Source organism: Homo sapiens, chromosome 1, assembly GCF_000001405.40.
Source record: "Homo sapiens chromosome 1, GRCh38.p14 Primary Assembly".
Taxonomy (NCBI): domain Eukaryota; kingdom Metazoa; phylum Chordata; class Mammalia; order Primates; family Hominidae; genus Homo; species Homo sapiens.
The window spans coordinates 169,419,567-169,435,422 of record NC_000001.11 but is presented as its reverse complement, the minus strand read 5'-3'; the positions used below and the strand labels follow the sequence as shown (position 1 = coordinate 169,435,422).

The following is a 15,856-nucleotide window of genomic DNA, read 5'->3' as shown; positions in this document are numbered from 1 at the left end:
TTCTTGTAACATCTTTTTTGTTGACATATAATTCATATACTAATACCATACAATTCAACTTTTAGTGGTCACACACCCATTTCCTCTCAACAACTCCTTTGTTCCAGCCCTAGGCAAACACTAGTTCATTTTCAATCTCTATAGATTTACCTATTCTGGACATTTCATATTAATGGAATTATACAATATGTGATCTTTTGTGTCTGGCTTCTTTCATAACATAATATTTATGTTTTCAAGGTTCATCAATGTTGTAGCATCTATCAGTACTTCATTCCTTTTTTTGTCTAAAACTTTTTATTGTGGTAAAAAAACACCTATCATAAAACTTATTATCTTAACCATTTTTAAGTGTACATTACCATGATATTAAACACATTCACACTGCTATGCAAACATCATTACCATCCATCTCCAGAACACTTTATTTTTTAAAACTGACACCTTGTACCCATTAAACAATAACCTCTCATTTCCCCTGCCTTAACAGGCTCTGGAAAACACGATTCTACTTTCTGTCTCTAAGATTTTGACTGTTCTGGGCACTTTATATAAGTGGAATGACACAATATTGTGTTTTTATGACTTTTTCTTGCCTAATTGCTCTGGCTAGGACTTCCAGTATTATGTTTAATAGCAGTAGTGAAAGCAGGCATCCTTGCTTTGTACCTGATTTTAGATGAAAAGCTTTCAGTCCTTCACTATTGAATATGATGTTTGCTGTGGGTTTTTCATACATGGCTTTATTATTATTTTACCTAGCGTAATGTCTTCAAAGGTTCATCCCATTGTAGCATATGTTAGAATTTCCTTCCTTTAAAAGGCTGAATAATATTCCATTGTGCATATATACTACATTTGCTTATCCATTCATCTGTCAATGGTCACTTGGGTTGCTTCAACATTTTAGCAATTGTGAAGAATGCTTCTATGAACATGACTGTACAAATATTTTTTTCAAGATCCTGCTTGTGATTATTTTGGGTATATGCTCGGAAATGGGATTGCTGGATCATATGGTAATTCAATTTTTAATTTTTTGAGGAATTGCCATACTGTTTTCCATAGCAGTTGTACCATTTTACATTCCCACTAACAGTGCATAAGGGTTTCAATTTATCCACATCCTTGCCAATATTTATTTTGTCTTAATAGTAATCTTCCTAATGAGGGTGGTATCTCATAGTGGTTTTGATTTGCATGTCTCTAATAATTAGTGATAGTTAGCATCTTTTCATATGTTTCCTGGCAATTCATGTATTTTCGGAGAAATGTCTAATCAAGTTGTTTGTCCATTTTTTGAATTGGAGTGTTTGTTTTTATAATTGTTGTTGAGTTTAGAAGGTCTCTATTTGTTATGGATATTAATACCTTGGATACCTATGAACATTAGATATATCATTTGCGAATATTTTCTCCCATTTCATAGGTTGCCTTTTCATTCTGCTGATAATGTCTAGTGAGCAAAAGTATTTAAAATGCAACAGTACTTAATATTTGTGCAGTCCAATTTGTTTACTTTTGCATGTGCTTTTGCTGTCATATCTAAGAAATTATTGTCAAATCCAATGTGGCAAAGCTATTGCTCTGTTTCCTTATAAGAGTTCATAGTTTTAGTTCTTACATTTACATCTTTGATCCATTTTATTTTTGAATATGGTGCGAGGTAAGGGTCCAACCTAATTCATTTGCATGTGGATATCCAGTTTTCCCAGAACCATTTGTTGAAAGATGATATCCTTTCCCCTCGGAGTTTCATAAAACCCTTGTGAAAAATCATTTGACCATATATGTGAGAGTTTATTTATGACCTCTAAATTTGATTCCATTGGTTTATAAAGCTGTCTTTATGCAGTACCACATAGTTTAAATTATTTTAGCTTTATAGTAAGTTTTGAAATCAGGAAGTATTAGTGCTCCAACTTTGTTCTTTTTCAAGACTCTTTTGGCTTTTGGGGTTCCTTGAAATTACATACAAATTTTAGGATGGATTTATTTCTGCTTTTCTGAGATTTTGATAGGTATTACATTGAATCTGCATATCTACTTTGGGTAATACTGACATCTTAATAATATTGTCCTCCAATCCATTAACAAGGGATAGCTTTCCATTTGTCTGTTTTATGGTTTACATTGTATGCATCTTTCATCCATTTAGTTAATTCTTAAGTATTTTATTCTTTTTTATATTATAAATTGAATTGTTTTCTTAATTTCCTTTTAGACTGTTCATCATTAGTGTATAGAAATACAACTGACTTTATGTGCTTTGTCTCTTGCAATTTTTGCTGAATGTATTAATTCTAATAGTTTTAAAAATGATATCTTTAGGGTTTTCTACGTATAAGACCTGTCATTTGCAAACAGAGATAATTTCACTTCTTCCTTTCTAATCTGGCTGCCTTATATTTCTTTTTCTTGCCTAATTGCTCTGGCTTGTACTTCCAGTACTATGTTTAATAGCAGTAGTGAAAGCCAGCATCCTCATCTTATACCTGATCTTAGATGAAAAGCTTTCTGTCTTTCAGAATTGAGCATGATGTTTGGTGCGGGTTTTTCATATATGCCTTTTATTAAGTTGAGGCAGTATCCTTCTATTCCTAGTCTGTTTGTTTTTTATCATGAAAGAGTGCTGAATTTAATGCTTTTTCTGCATCAATTAAAATGATCATTCAGTTTTTCTCTTTCCTTCTGTTAATGTAGAATACTGCATCGATTTTTGTATGTTAAACCATCCTTACATTCTAGGAATAAATCACTTTTGGCCATGGTGCAGTATCTTTGTAATATGCTGCTGAAATCAGGTATTTTGTAGAGGATTTTTGCAAATCCCTTGCATGTGATGAGTTGCTTCTTTCCTGTCTTTTGACAGTTAGATGGATAATATGCTTCAGTGGAGGTTTGTTTGAATTCATACTACTTGGAGTACATTGAGCTTCTGTGATGATCATATTCATATCCTTTATTAAACTTGGGAAGTTTTCAGCCATTATTTCTTCAAATTATCATACTACTTCTTTCTCTTTTCTCAAGGACTCCCACAATGCAGACTGTGGTCCATTTGGTGGTGTTCTACAGGTCCCCTAGGCTCTCTTCACTTTTAACTTTTTAATTTTTTTGTTTCTCAGATACAACAATTTCAATTGTCTTATCTTTAAGTTCACTGATTCTTTCTTCTGCCTGACCAAATATGCTTTTGAATCCCAACAGTAAGATTTTCATTTCAGTTGTACTTTTCAGCTCTAGAATTTCTTTGATTTCTTTTTTAGTTTTCAATTTATTGATATTTCCATTTTGTTTATATATTATTTTCTTCACTTTCTCCACATCTTTCCTTAGTTATTTGAGCATCTTTATGATTTAAGGTCTTCTCAGGTATTTTTCTGAGTTTATGCCTTTCTCTGGGTGTTCAATTTAACTTTATACTTTTCTCTGTAAATGTAGTTGCTTTTTAATGTCTTAGTCTTTAATGTTTGTCTTCCAAAAGGAAGAAAACAAGGAAAATTCCCTGGAAGTTGCTTCAGCTGGAGGAGTAAAAGCTTACAATGGTGGGGGAAGGTGCAACAACAATGGCGGCTACCTCTGTGTTTGCATCTCCTTGATCAGAAGCAGTAATCAATTATCAGAACATAGACCCTCATCAATAGGAGGACAGGGTCCTTACTGCTCATTGACTCTCATGAACTATGTTAAAGCTGCTCCTGCAAGTAATACAGACTGCCTGCTAGGGAGCTGGGGTTTGGGGTTGGGTAGATGATACTGAACTAAGAGCTGAAATTCACCAAAATAAGTTCAGTTTTCTGTCCAAGCCTTCCCTTGAAAGTTGCAAGCCTTTAATAGACTCCACAGTTCCAAAATAGTTACAAGAGATAGGTTTTGACAGTGCAATTGTTTTTCCAGGTGGGGAGATAGATTCCTGGTGCTTCCTATTCCACCATCTTTTTAGAATCCTCCAGCAGTACTTCATTTATTTTTATTGCAGAATAATATTCCATTGTATAGATATATAACATTTATCCATTCATCATTTGATGGACATTTGAGTCATTTCCACTTTTGGCTACCAATCATGCTGCTATATCCCAACCAGGCAAGAGAAAGAAATAAAGGGCATCCACATTGGTAAAGAGGAAATCAAACTGTTGCTGTTTGTCAGTGACATAATCATATACTAGAAAACCATCCAAAAAGATTCTAGAACTGATAAATTAATTCAGTAAAGTTTCAGGATATAAAATCAATGTACACAAATCAGTAGTGAGGCAGGAGAATAGGGTCTGGAGTCAGTGAACCTAAGGCCATTTCACACTGACTTCCTAGAATGCAGTTGAAAGGAAAACCCTAACTTGCCATGTTTAAGTAACAAAAGGACCAGAGGCTACTTCCTTGGCAAATCCTCTTTCCTGCAGATGGGAAATTGAAAGTACCCCTGATTGGTTGCAAAGAGCATAGGAGTGTAATGTTTGCATAGGAGTGTAACTTTGTAACTTCACTTCAACCTCTGATTGGTTGCTTTCCACAACCAATCAGACTGATTGCGGGCCACCACTTCATTTACATGGGGTGAACCAATGTAAAGTGTCCAATGGGAAACCTCTAGTGGGTATTTGGACCCAAGAAGATTCTGTATCTGGAGCCCTTGAGCCACTGCTCATGCCTGTTGCCACATTGTGGAGTGTACTTTCATTTTCAATAAAAATCTCTGCTTTTGTTGCTTCATTCTTTCCTTGCTTTATTTGTGTGTTTTTTTTTTTCCAATTCTTTGTTCAAAATACCAAGAACATGGACACCCTCCACCGGTAACAGTAGCACTGCTGTATACCAACATCAACCAAGATGAGAATCAAATCAAGAACTCAACCCCATTACAATAGCTGCAAAAAATAAAATACTTAGGAATATACCTAACCAAGGAGGTGAAAGATCTCTACAAGGAAAACTAAAAAACACTGATGAAAGAAATCATAGATGACACAAACAAATGGAAGCAAATCCCATGCTCATAGATGGGTAGAATCACTATTGTGAAAATGACTATACTGCCAAAAGCAGTCTACAAACTCAATGCAATTCCCATCAAAATACCATTATCATTCTTCACAGAACTAGAAAAAACAACCCTCAAATTCATATAAAACCAAAAAGGAGCCTGCAGAGCCAAAGGAAAACTAAGCAAGAAGAACAAATCTGGAGGCATTACATTACCCAACTTCAAACTATACTACAAGGCTATAGTCACTAAAACATCATGGTACTGGCATAAAAACAGGCACATAGACTAATGAAACAGAATAGAGAACCAAGAAATGAAGCTAACTGATCTCTGACAAAGCACACACAAATATAAAGTGAGGAAAGGACACCATATTCAACAAATGGTGCTGGGATAATTGGCAAGCAACATGTAGAAAAATGAAACTGGATCCTCATCTCTCACCTTATACAAAAATCAACTCAAGATGGATCAAATACTTAAATCTAAGACCTGAAACCATAAAAATTCTAGAAGATAGCATTGGAAAAACCCTTCTAGACATTGGCGTTGGCAAAGACTTCATGACCAAGAATCTAAAAGCAAACGCAACAAAAACAAAGGTAAGTAGATGGGACTTAATTAAACTAAAAAGCTTCTGCATAGCAAAAGAAATAATCAGCAGAGTAAACAGACAACCCACAGAGTGGGAGAAAATCTTCACAAACTATGCATCTAACTAAGGACTAATATCCACAATCTTCAAGGAACTCAAACAAATCAGCAAGGAAAAAACGAATAAGCTCATCAAAAAGTGGGCTAAGGACATGAATAGACAATTCTCAAAATAAGATATTCAAATGGCCAATAAAGAGATGAAAAAATGCTCAACATCACTAATGATCAGGGAAATGCAAATCAAAACCTCAATACGATACCACCTTACTCCTGCAAGAATGGTCATAAGCAAAAAATAAAAAAAACAACAGATGTTGGCATGGATGTGGTGAACAGGGAACACTTTTATACTGGTGATGGGAATGTAAACTAGTACAATCACTATGGAAAACAGTGTGGAGATTCTTTAAAGAACTAAAAGTAGATCTACCATTTGATGCAGCAATCCCACTACCGTGTATCTACCCAGAGGAAAAGAAGTCATTATGTGAAAAAGACACTTGCACATGTTTATCGCAGCACAATTCGCAATTACAAAAATAAAGAACCAAACCAAATGCCCATCAACCAACGAGTGGATAAAGAAAATGTGGTACATATACATACCATGGAATACTACTCAGTCATATGAAGGAATGAAATTGTGGCATCGTAGCTACCTGGATGGAAATGGAGGTTATTTCATCATTATTCTAAGTGAAGTAACTCAGGAATGGAAAACCAAACATCATATGTTCTCACTTGTAAGTGGGAGCTAAGCTATGAGGATGCAAAGGCGTAAAGATGATACAGTGGACTTTGGGGACTTGGGAGAAAGGGTGGGAGCAGGATGAGGCATAAAAAAACTACATATTGGTTAAGAGGCCCAGGTGGGCAGACTGCCTGAGCTCAGTTGTTGGAGAACAGCTTGGGCAACATGGTGAAAACCCATCTCTACTAAAAATACAAAAACTTAGCCAGGTGTGGTGGCGTGCCTGTAGTTTCAGCTACTCTGGGGGCTAAGGCACAAGAATCGCTTGAACCCGGGAGATGGAGGTTGAAGTGAGCCCAGATCGTGCCACTTCACTCCAGCCTGGGTGACAGAGCGAGACTCTGTCTCAAAAACAAAACAAACAAACAAAGAAACAAACAAAAAAACTCTACATATTGGGTACAGTGTACACTGCTCAGGTGATGGGTGCACCAAAATCTCAGAAATCACCGCTAAAGAACTTATCCATGTAACCAAACACCACCTGTTCCCCCAAAACCTGATACTTAAAAAAAAAGCTGCTATCACCCATTATTTGAAAAATACAAATTTAGGAGGATGGTCAGAGGAAAAAACTATTAACCTAGGAGTTCTGAAACCTAGGGTCTACTTCCAGCTTTGGTAAGTAACTCTACAACTCTACATCCATTAAAGGAGATTTGACTAAAATTCCTTCAACCTTTAGCAGTGAATAACCTTTTTTGGGAGCGTCTTTTTTCAAGCGCTGAAGCAGTAGCAACATTAGGTCATTACAACTACACCACATCTAGGAAGTGCACTCAATATTACAATTCATTTTAACCTTCCATTTTAAAAGACCTTAAGTCTATAACTTGAAGAATATCTAAAAATTTAATTTTACATTGCCTCTCTTGGAGAAAAGGTGCTCTCCATCACATCAAGTGATAGAAATCCTAATAATAAACAATTTAAAAATAATCCGAACACACTGGATTGTACTGAGGAAATATTTTTACTTCTCCCAGTTCTTATTTATTTCTGGCTGGGAATGGATAGTTGTTAAAATCATCTCAACTTTCACCACAATCTAAATTCATCTTGCTTTGCCTTTATACATAAAGATAAGCAGAATTTGAGAAAATTCTAGTTGACCATTTTGACATGCCTCAAAGCTAGAGCAAAAATCCTATTTTCTTTGGCAACTCTCTTGGGTAAAGTTTTGGTTTTGATTAGGAAAAAAAGAAGCTGAGGGTCAAAAATATGGTAACTCATTAGCAATTTGCTTATCTACTAATGAAAACTAAAAACTACTTTTCTACGTTAACTGTGAAGCACATAACATATAGAAATATAGTTTTAGAAGTTGTCCTAAGAAATTCTAAATCTGACGAGAGACAGCTACAAGAGGGAAATTTCACAACCAACACAGCGGCACTTCGCGAGTCTCTATAACGTTAGTGATGCGTGGATTCCTTAGTCGTCCCCTTAGAAACCTCAGCTTCACTGGCCCTTCGCAAGCACCGGGATGGGTGCCGGGAGGGGTCGGTGGTCTGAGGATATTGCATGCGCCTGCGCAGATTTTTGTCGCTCTCGTAGTTAGAGAGGCCCGGATGGAGGACGCAGAGGCACGCTGTTGCCATGGCAGTGTGGTCCTGGCTGCCGCGGAGGCAGGTGCCGGGGTCTCCTTTGCCTCAATGTGAAGAGCTTAGAAAGAGGAGGAGAGGAGAACTCCCCCGGCCATCTCTGTGATCCCAGCCGCCGCATTTTACACAGGCAAGAGGGATATAGAGGGAGAGAAGGGAAGGACGATGCGGAGATGTTAATGGTGGGATAGAGGGTAAAGGTATAAACGTCTGGTATAGCTGGGAGGGAGGGTAGGTAGTGAGGGAAGAAGCTTTCTGGTGGCGCCTTATCCTCTGGAGTCCGAGGTCCACCGAGTCTGGCACTGGTGGGGAAGTCTGGTAACACCTTTCTTCACTATGTATGAAGGATACTCGTCTGAGAGTAGCTTAGACTAAATTTTTGTCATATTCTTTCCCCTCTCAAAGTTCTTGAACGTGGAAAGTAATAATTTTGTCCCTGGGAGAAAAAGTCACTCCCGAAATTGTAGCTTCCATGAGGAGGCAATGGTATTCATTTCGTTGGTGGTACCTTGGGATCCTGAATACAGATTAAAATTATCACCTAAAGTCCATAAAATATTTATCATCATACTTTGTGACAGTTTATGATTTTTTAAAAACTTACTTATAGGATCACAGTCTTGGCAGGATACACAGGAATAATGGGCCAGATGGTTTCATGATGTATGGATTAGTTTTTGCTTAAGTACTTACTTTATATTAAAAGGCATTCTCTTTGACATGCTTTCAGTTCTTAGATTTTTAAGCAAGCATATGTTTAAAACGCTGTAAGATGGGACCCAATTATTTAAACTATTTTTGAATATCCTGAATTCTGGAAGAAAGTTATCAAAATTATGTATACATGTGGACTTGGTTTAAGACTCCTACTGAAAGATCGGCAGTTCACCTATCCACATGGGATTTACCAGACACTCAGGGAGGAAGGAATTTATTTCCGTCTCTTACTACAGTTCCGTATTAAGAGGGTAGAGCTGGTCTAAGCCGTTTACCTAGATTTTTACTGATGATAAATGTTGAAATTTAAATGTGTGAAACTCACAAGCATAAAGTAGGAAGTGTTAAGTGATTTTGTTTGTATAAGATGTATTTTTGTTCTAGCTTGTTGATTCTGTACCATATGGACAGTACCCTGGTGATGAAGATTAAAAGAATTGAAGGGGTTGAATATCCTGTGACGCATTTGAAAAAGGCTTAAGGGATTTGATAACCAGAGTTTGTAATTTATGTTCTTTGTTTACTTGAGAACCGGCCATGAGGGTGTTTTTTTGTTTTTAAGTTACAACAAAAGAATTGCACTTCAGATTTGATGTGACTTAATTTACTTCTCAGAGTTACCTTAACTATGGCTTTTTTTTCCTTTGAATTATGGCATAATAGTATGACTTAAAGACCCCTAACCTGTTAAATTTTTAATTACTGTGCTTTTATTATACAGATTTTATGTTTTCATTTTAAATTTTAGTTTTCATGTGTGTGTGATTCTCTGTAAACAATAAAACATATCTACTAAAGTCTTCAGGCAACCATTTATTTATAAGTTCAGAACTATGTTTATCATAAAATAAGGGAAAGCACTGAAGAGTTCCAAAGAAATATTCTTATAATATTTATGTAACTCAAACATCTTAAAATAATAAATTTCAAGATCCCTGCTCTGAAAAGAAAACTGATTATTCCAAGGCATTGTGACTGTGAAAAGTACTATTTTTACTGTAAGTATTTCGGATTACAGTGAGTTTTATTCTGTATCATTCATGGTGCCCTTGCTTTTAATTGGTAGGTAGTTAGATATAATAGCTTAAGCAATTTAGCTTGTCTTGCAGTTAGGAAGTGAAACTCACTCTGAAGTGTTGACTTGATTTCTCCAGATCACTTCAAAATTTGTGCTCAACCTGATTTAGAAATTATTGAAGGGCTTACTTTTGAGTCCTTTAGCAAATCTATTTTGTGTTTTTAGTTTAAAATAAATAAGTATCTAGAAAGAATTATAGTCCAATGAATAGTTTAGAAAAAAACAATAATTATCCAGTTGAACAATTAACAGTTATTTTTGAATAATAATTAAGTTGAATAACAGTTATTATTCAGTAATAACTTAGTCTGGCCAAAGGTTTGGGGAGAACAAAGCGAAGCTAATGGCTAAAACAGCTGGTGGATTATTTATTAATTCAGCATACCTAAAGTGTACCAAAAATTAACTTTATCTTGAGAGGGAAAAGGAACCAACATCAATAACTATTTGGGGAACAGGGGGAAGGTGGGAGAGTTTTTAGGAATGTTTACCTATGGAAATGTCTTGCCATTGCAGATCTCTCTTTCATGGTGTATTCAAGTGCATGTTCATTTTGAACATTCTATTTTGTGTTTCTCTGTGTTAATTAGCTTACCTACAGCATTAATCTCCATACTCCATTCCTCCTCTAGAGTGGGCATAACATATACCTTATCTTTTAAAATCTTACAGCATATTTCCTTCACAAACAGAAAATGAATGAAAATAAAGATACTGATTCAAAGAAAAGTGAAGAATACGAAGATGACTTTGAAAAGGACCTGGAGTGGTTAATTAATGAAAATGAAAAAAGTGATGCCAGCATAATAGAGGTATATATTGCCAACAGCATTCATAATAATTATATTACAAAGTGCTTTGCAATTCTTTAAGGTTTTCACATTATTATCTCATCTAAACATCACAAAATTTCTTTGATCTACATTGGGCAAATTACTATTATCCTCATCTTAAAGATAAGAAAAATGAGGCGTAGATTGCTTAAATGTTGTATCCTAAGGCATAGGGCAGGTTAGTGAGAGAACAGTTATTACGCTAGCATTTAATAAACTAAAGTGACCATTATAAAATTATAATTTAAATAATATAAATAAATAGTAAAATCATGATTTATTGCATCGAAAGTAAAAAATACAGTTAATTCCTACTTTCTGTGAACTTGGGTAAAATCATGGGGTTATGCTATTAAAATAAATGAAAAATAAAGCAAATCCTCTAAACACATGACCTTTTAGCTAATATTTAAAACTTTAAGACTGAATTAGCTCTTCTTGGCAATGAATATAGAGAACAAAGTAAAGGGTCAAAGTCTGAGTCACAGGAATACTCCTAGGAAAAGTGGATGCATTAAGCATGGTCATATACTATTTATCAGAGATGAAGAAAGGAACTCCAGGAAAATTAACCAGTTCCTGCATCAAGGTAGGTTATTTCTCTCTCTCTTTACATGTGTATAATGTGTATATGTATTTCTGTAAAACATATATATGTATATATGCATATGTATGTGTGTATATATATGTATATACATAAGTTAGTGTCAATAAGTAGAAAAAGGAATAACACTAGGATATAAATAGGTGACTTTGGAGGGATAATGATCAGAGTTATAGCAGAAGCCAGTTTTAAAGGTGTTAAGGAAAAGACTATGAGGAAATGCAGGTTTTATATTACAGATTTCTTAGTTCCATTTTGCTTTCTTATATAATGGAAAAGACAAATGGAATACACAATGTTTGAAGATGGAAACAGAGTCAAAAGTGAAGATTTTTCTAAGATGGCTTTTAAATGGGAGTTTTATGCATCCTAACAGAAAAATAAGCAGAATGAGTAGAGGCAGATACCCAGAGTGGTAAGGTTGAACCAATTTCTCAAGACTGGAAGGGTGTGAGATCCAAAGCACAGTGCGATAGAATTAGAGAGGTAATAGGGATGATTTATTGTTTTATTTTCTAATTCAACAAGTATTAATGATCACCTATCATATCAGAGGCTGTTCTAGGTGCTAGGGATATATATAGCAGGAATAAAATAAAAGTGCTGTTATGAATCTTACACATTCCAGCGGATGATTATAACAACCTCTTCTTTTGAGGCTTTTGGGAAAAGGGGATGACTGAGCTAGAGACACATAAGAGGGTCAGGGGAAGATTTTTTTGTAAAAAGTGGGTTTTCAAAAGAAAAGAAAAGAAAAGCTAAAGGAGAGTTCAGAAACAGAGACTATAAGAATGAACCAGAGATCTGCCATCCTCATGATATTGGAAAAATAAAAAAGAGTCAACTAGAGAAACAAATAAGGCTAAAATGAACACTTGTGATACAGAGCTCTTAGTTAAATCATAGTTATTTGGCAGTCATTTAAATGGGCCAGGTTTATTTGCTTATTAGACATCTGACTATCAGACAAGATGACCTTCACTATCACACAGGATGACCTATGAGCAAATGAAGGAGGAAAGTGATTTTAAGGGGTTGAAGAGAGAAGCATGTAGTAGCTCCCATAGAACTGCTTTAGGAGGGAGAGAACTTTGACAAAGAGAAAAAATATATATATATATAAAATATTTATATACATTTATATATTATATCTATTATATTTTTATATATATAAGCTTTTAGTTAGATACAGCAGAAGTGGAGTTTTGTGCTGCACTGATACTGGTTTATGGTTCATGTGGAATTAACTTTTTTTAATTTAAGGCCAAGTTATCTGATGGTGGTTAGCATGGATTTCTGAAATCTCTGAGTATAGTTGAAGAAGGGAAATCTGATCTAGAGGTAAAAATTGACCTGGAATTTAGATAGGTCCTGCAGATTATAGTGATAATAATAGTCTGAAAAGATTAAAAGAACCTCAAGTGATTAGGACCTGACCAAATAATTCATCCTTGAAATGGTCTGGGGAGAAAGCTGTTTGATTGAAGAATGCAAATATTACAAGGAGGAAAGATTTTTGAAAATTGTTTTTCTGAAAATGTAAAGAGAGGAAAATTTTATAGGGGAAGGAATATTAATATTGTTATTTGTAGTTACCTTTTGATACATTAGCATAAAAATGTTTAAAAATCAATGTAGCACTTAGCTACATCAAATTCAAATTTAAAGTTGAATTTTTCCTGCATTGCTGTCACATTATTTCCCTTGGATACTCATAAGTATGAATTAGAATGTTATGAGCAAATTATGAGCAATAAACACTTAAATTTTCCCATTCATAAAATAAATTACATGAACAGGAAAAATCCCATTTTGTATGTCTACTTATAAATGAAGAATCTCAATTTTGACTGAAAAATATCTTGTTTTTAGATGGCTTGTGAGAAGGAAGAGAATATTAACCAAGACTTAAAAGAGAATGAGACAGTAATGGAGCACACCAAACGGCATTCTGATCCTGACAAATCTTTGCAGGATGAGGTCTCACCAAGAAGAAATGACATCATTTCTGTACCAGGTATTCAACCTTTGGATCCCATATCAGATTCAGATAGTGAAAACTCTTTCCAGGAATCCAAACTAGAAAGCCAGAAAGACTTGGAGGAGGAAGAGGATGAGGAAGTAAGGAGATATATTATGGAGAAAATTGTACAAGCTAACAAGCTTCTACAGAATCAAGAACCGGTGAATGATAAAAGGGAGCGAAAACTTAAGTTCAAGGACCAGTTAGTTGATTTGGAAGTTCCTCCACTAGAAGACACTACTACTTTTAAAAATTATTTTGAAAACGAAAGGAATATGTTTGGGAAACTGTCACAATTATGTATTTCCAATGATTTTGGACAAGAAGATGTGCTCCTGTCACTTACTAATGGAAGCTGTGAAGAAAACAAGGATAGGACAATACTGGTAGAGAGAGATGGAAAATTTGAACTTCTGAATTTACAAGACATTGCCAGTCAGGGGTTTTTGCCTCCCATTAATAATGCAAATAGTACAGAAAATGACCCTCAGCAGTTGTTACCCAGATCTTCCAACTCCTCTGTCAGTGGCACCAAGAAAGAAGATTCTACAGCAAAGATTCATGCTGTCACTCACTCATCAACAGGAGAGCCGCTGGCTTATATCGCTCAGCCACCACTCAACCGCAAGACTTGTCCAAGCTCTGCTGTCAACTCAGATCGAAGTAAAGGGAATGGGAAATCTAATCACAGGACACAGTCTGCACATATCTCACCAGTGACTTCAACATACTGTCTTTCCCCTCGACAGAAAGAACTACAAAAACAACTAGAAGAAAAGAGAGAAAAACTGAAAAGAGAGGTGAGAACCTAAGTGGGCATTATATTAAAAGTAGAGTATGTTTTACTGTTTTATAAATGCAATGGGAATTAAAACAGTTGTTCAAACCATTGGAGACTTTTTTTGATTGCTTTATTTATCTATTGTTAGATTGATTAAGTGTTAAGAATGTGCATTTATGGAATGAACACAGTGATTACTTTGGTCCTTGTAAGGATCACAAAGAATAGTAGACTGATCTGTGTTAGCGGAGATCTCAGTGATGACTTCATCTGATCCTTTCATTTTAAAGGTGAGACTCATGAGACGTTAAGTGACTGCTGAAAGTAATCTTGATATGATAGGTAAAAATAAAATGTCAGATGGAAAAATGAAGGCATAAAGTGTAGAGGTTTAGGAGGCAACAGGAAGACTTGGACTATAATTCTTTTATTTGCATGTGTTTCATGTTATGTTCTATGCTTACAATTCTTTTATTTCCAGGAGTTTAGTTTCAGATTAAGAATATAGCCTAATATTCTTAACGAAATGTCTCCAAAATGCCATATAGAATCCCAAATTAATTTTTTTTGTTTTTCATATTTGTTCTTATGTGAAACTCTATGTATCTTATAATTGAAAATTCCAGGACTTAAACTGGTGAGTTTTCTCAGAATTACTTATGTCAGTGCTCCAATTCTTTGTTTTACTGGAAACCTAATGGTATTAAGCTGAGCCATACAAAATGTCTAATTCTAAATACAAAGCTCAGCAGATAATACATGAGAAGTGACCTTACAGATCATTTTGCAGATAAGAAAACCTTAGAAAGTTTAAATAACTTTACCAAGGTATATCTGTACTTGTTAGTAGCAAACTGGAATAAAAATTTCCAGTTCTCTGGCACCCTTGAGAAATGGTGTGTTATCTACTTTATATGGGAAATTATCAGGGAAATATCTGGCATTTAAATCAGGAATTGGCATTAGCAAAAAAAAAAAAAAAAAGTGAAACATGACTTCGTAAGAACGTGTAACCTCTAGCACACTCAGATAAGAACCTAAAAGGGTGCAAGCTTATAGAGCTTCGTTCACTTGGTCACTAATAGCTCTAATAGTCAAACTAAGTTTACTTGATTCAGGTATAAAAACACTTGAAAGTATAGGAATTTGGTGACAATACAAAATAATTTTTTGAGAATGACATCTATATGTTTGCTATACACAAATGTGTAGGTATGTGTATATTTTTACAAAAGTTATACAGGTGATTTTATATAGTTGTCACTGCCTTTTTATTAATGAACTGATGTTAGTCTTTAACTGGTGTGAAGGATGGATAATTCTGTTTTCATTTGGATTCTCTTTTCTGAATGTCACACACTCTTTGTTCTGAAATACACTTTTATTGTATCCTATAACTAACTTGGCTCAAGGCATGGTCTTCAAGTACTAAGGCTTTTAACATGTTTTAGTTGGTTTCAGGGGAAGGCTTTGCTTTTTTATGCCCATATTTTCTGGGTTGGGCTGCTATACTCTGTCTTTCTAACCTAAGTGCATCATTTCAGTGTTCTCTTTGGCAACTCCGTTATCAGTGCTTTGGCTGATAGCTTCTGTGTAATATACCTGAATGTTCCCCTTGGAAAGATAATCATCGTTTGTCATACTGTATTCATGCAAGGCATCCAAAGTCCTTTGTGTGAAATGGAAATGTATAAATAATGTAAAATTTAATTCTTAATAAATTCATTTATATTTCCTATAATACAGGCTACTTTAGGGCTCAGAAAATAGTATATAGGTATTCTCAAATATATTTTATGCTGTTTGGTAGAATTT

General features: G+C 34.9%; 1 protein-coding gene across 8 annotated transcripts in view; it reads left to right on the top strand.

Moving 5' to 3' along the window:
- Positions 1–15,856, top strand: part of CCDC181 (coiled-coil domain containing 181) — a 65,800-nt gene that overhangs the window by 25,247 nt on the left and 24,697 nt on the right. For 3 of the 8 annotated variants that reach the window (NM_021179.3, NM_001300969.2, NM_001394009.1), the window contains exons 1-3: positions 7,949–8,135; positions 10,473–10,612; positions 13,110–14,060. In NM_021179.3, the coding sequence (NP_067002.1) occupies positions 10,496–10,612; positions 13,110–14,060 (1,068 nt within the window). In that variant the 5' untranslated portion in view covers positions 7,949–8,135; positions 10,473–10,495. Of the gene's footprint in view, positions 1–7,948; positions 8,136–10,472; positions 10,613–13,109; positions 14,061–15,856 lie in introns of those variants that run through there. The other 5 variants (NM_001300968.1, XM_005245383.1, XM_017001938.2 and 2 more) reach the window with 2 other exon arrangements.